This window comes from Homo sapiens, chromosome 7 (assembly GCF_000001405.40).
Source record: "Homo sapiens chromosome 7, GRCh38.p14 Primary Assembly".
Classification (NCBI taxonomy): Eukaryota; Metazoa; Chordata; class Mammalia; order Primates; family Hominidae; genus Homo; species Homo sapiens.
This window is the reverse complement of record NC_000007.14, coordinates 153,669,631-153,671,595: the sequence shown is the minus strand read 5'-3', so window position 1 is coordinate 153,671,595 and position 1,965 is coordinate 153,669,631. Positions and strand designations below refer to the sequence as shown.

The following is a 1,965-nucleotide window of genomic DNA, read 5'->3' as shown; positions in this document are numbered from 1 at the left end:
AATGAAGGGGGAACCCCCTTATAAAACCATCCAATCTCGTGAAATTCACTAACAGGAGAATGGCGTGGGAGAAACTATCCCCCATGATTCAATTATCTCCACCTGGTCCTGCCCTTGACAGGTGGGGATTATTAAATTCAAGGTGAGATTTGGGTGGGGACACAGACCTATACCATATCACCACCCCACTCCCTAAGTGGCTGTTTCTCAAGGAGCTGCTCTTTATCAAGATATAGTGGGACACTCCCTAGATATAGCAAGATGCCCTCTACTCAGGAAAGCGTGTGCCGCTCATTCGTCCACTGCTCACAAAAGCTGATCTGCAGGACATGCCACCATAATCTTCTTTCAGGTTCAGGTGGGTTACAGAAACTTTGCAAGCCATGTAGGGTGAAATACTGAGTTTATTTTGTCTTGACACAATAATATATATTGTAACAGTTTTTAAAAATTAAATTTTTGATGTACACTTAAAAACAAAATAAAACAAATAAATTTGGCTTATTTCTCCTAGAAGTCAATGACAAAAAAAGGTATGATGGACAGAACTGTGTGCCCTCAAAATTTTAATGTTGAAGTCCTAACCTCCAATACTTCAGAATGTGACTGTATTTGGAGAGAGGGTCTTCAGAGAGATTACTAAGTTAAAATATTTTAATTAGGGTTGATCCTAATCCAATAGGACTGGTGTCCTTATAAGAAGAGGAGATCAGGGCACAGACACACAGAGAAAAGGCCATGTAAGGACACAAGAAGAAGATGGCAACTTTAAGCCAAAGAGAGGGGCCTCAGGAGAGACCAACCCTGATCTTGAACTGGTGAAAAATAAATTTATCTTGTTTTAGCTACATCTGTAGTATTTCGTTACAGATGCCTTGGATAACTGATGCAAGTTATCTGAGAGTTCTGGACATTCCTGTTAATTAAGCTTTTGCTATTCTCTGCTAGTATAATGCAATTATGCCATTGTTACCAATTTGTCTCCAACTAATGCATAGGTATGCATGCAGACCTATTCATAGGTATGCATGCAGAACTATTCATAGGTATGCATGCAGAACTATTCATAGGTGTGAATGCAGACCTATTCATAGGTATGAATGCAGATAAGATTCCATCCATCATCACACATTGATATACAGATCTGAGCACCACTCAAGTTCAAAGTACTGATTCCCTTGAATTTTCTTTGTGCCTAAAGAAAGCTGGATCTTCCCTAGATATGCCAAAGGATGGCAGGTGTGATAGGAAGATAAAAGGGTGGTAAAAGGCAGATGGCAGCATCTTCTCACATTGTTGCTGCACCGTCCTCCACTAGCCTCCAATCCTAATCAGGACATGGCTCATACAGAGAAGGGTGTCCATCCCGGCTATGGGCAAGGAGAGGGATCTTGTGGGAACTGCTGTGTGCTGTGACAGCACAGCCACTGGAAATTGCCAAGAGTGCAGTTCCTGCGGGTGCTGCATTCATCGCTGAGACCTGGCTGGGTCTGCTGGGCACTGAGCAGAACCTCTGTCCAACTAAGGATAGCACACACAATCGGAATGCTGGAGTAGCTAATTCTTCTCTGGATCTGAGGGCATTAGACTTAACCTGCGCTCCACGGCTCATCCCTTCTGGCCATACTAAACAGAGAAGCCATGCTACAACCCCGGGAGAGAGTCGTCTCCTTTGGAGAAGAAGGAAAATTACAGTTAATCTCTACATTCCCACAGCCTGGCATCGTACTTGGCACGATATGGTGGGCAGTACATGTTGCCATGACTAGAGCAAACTAGCCCCAACTCTGTAGCTAAGTCCTTTTATGATCCTGGATGAGTTGCTGAAGCTGCCTTTTCTTCACTTTATAGCGCAAGTCACGCTGAGTTAAACGAGTGCTGCCTGTGTGAGTTTGGGCCCTCTGAGAAACTGCTGCTGAGACAAGATTAAGCACACAAGGATTTTCACAGTGGAAACTCCTGTGA

General features: G+C 43.5%; 1 annotated feature.

Moving 5' to 3' along the window:
* Positions 845–1,346: an enhancer, noted in NCBI's record as "NANOG hESC enhancer chr7:153367335-153367836 (GRCh37/hg19 assembly coordinates)". NCBI's record gives its function as "activates a minimal SCP1, AML or CMV promoter by ChIP-STARR-seq in naive H9 embryonic stem cells {active_cell/tissue: H9 hESC(naive)}" and the evidence as "EXISTENCE:reporter gene assay evidence [ECO:0000049][PMID:30033119]".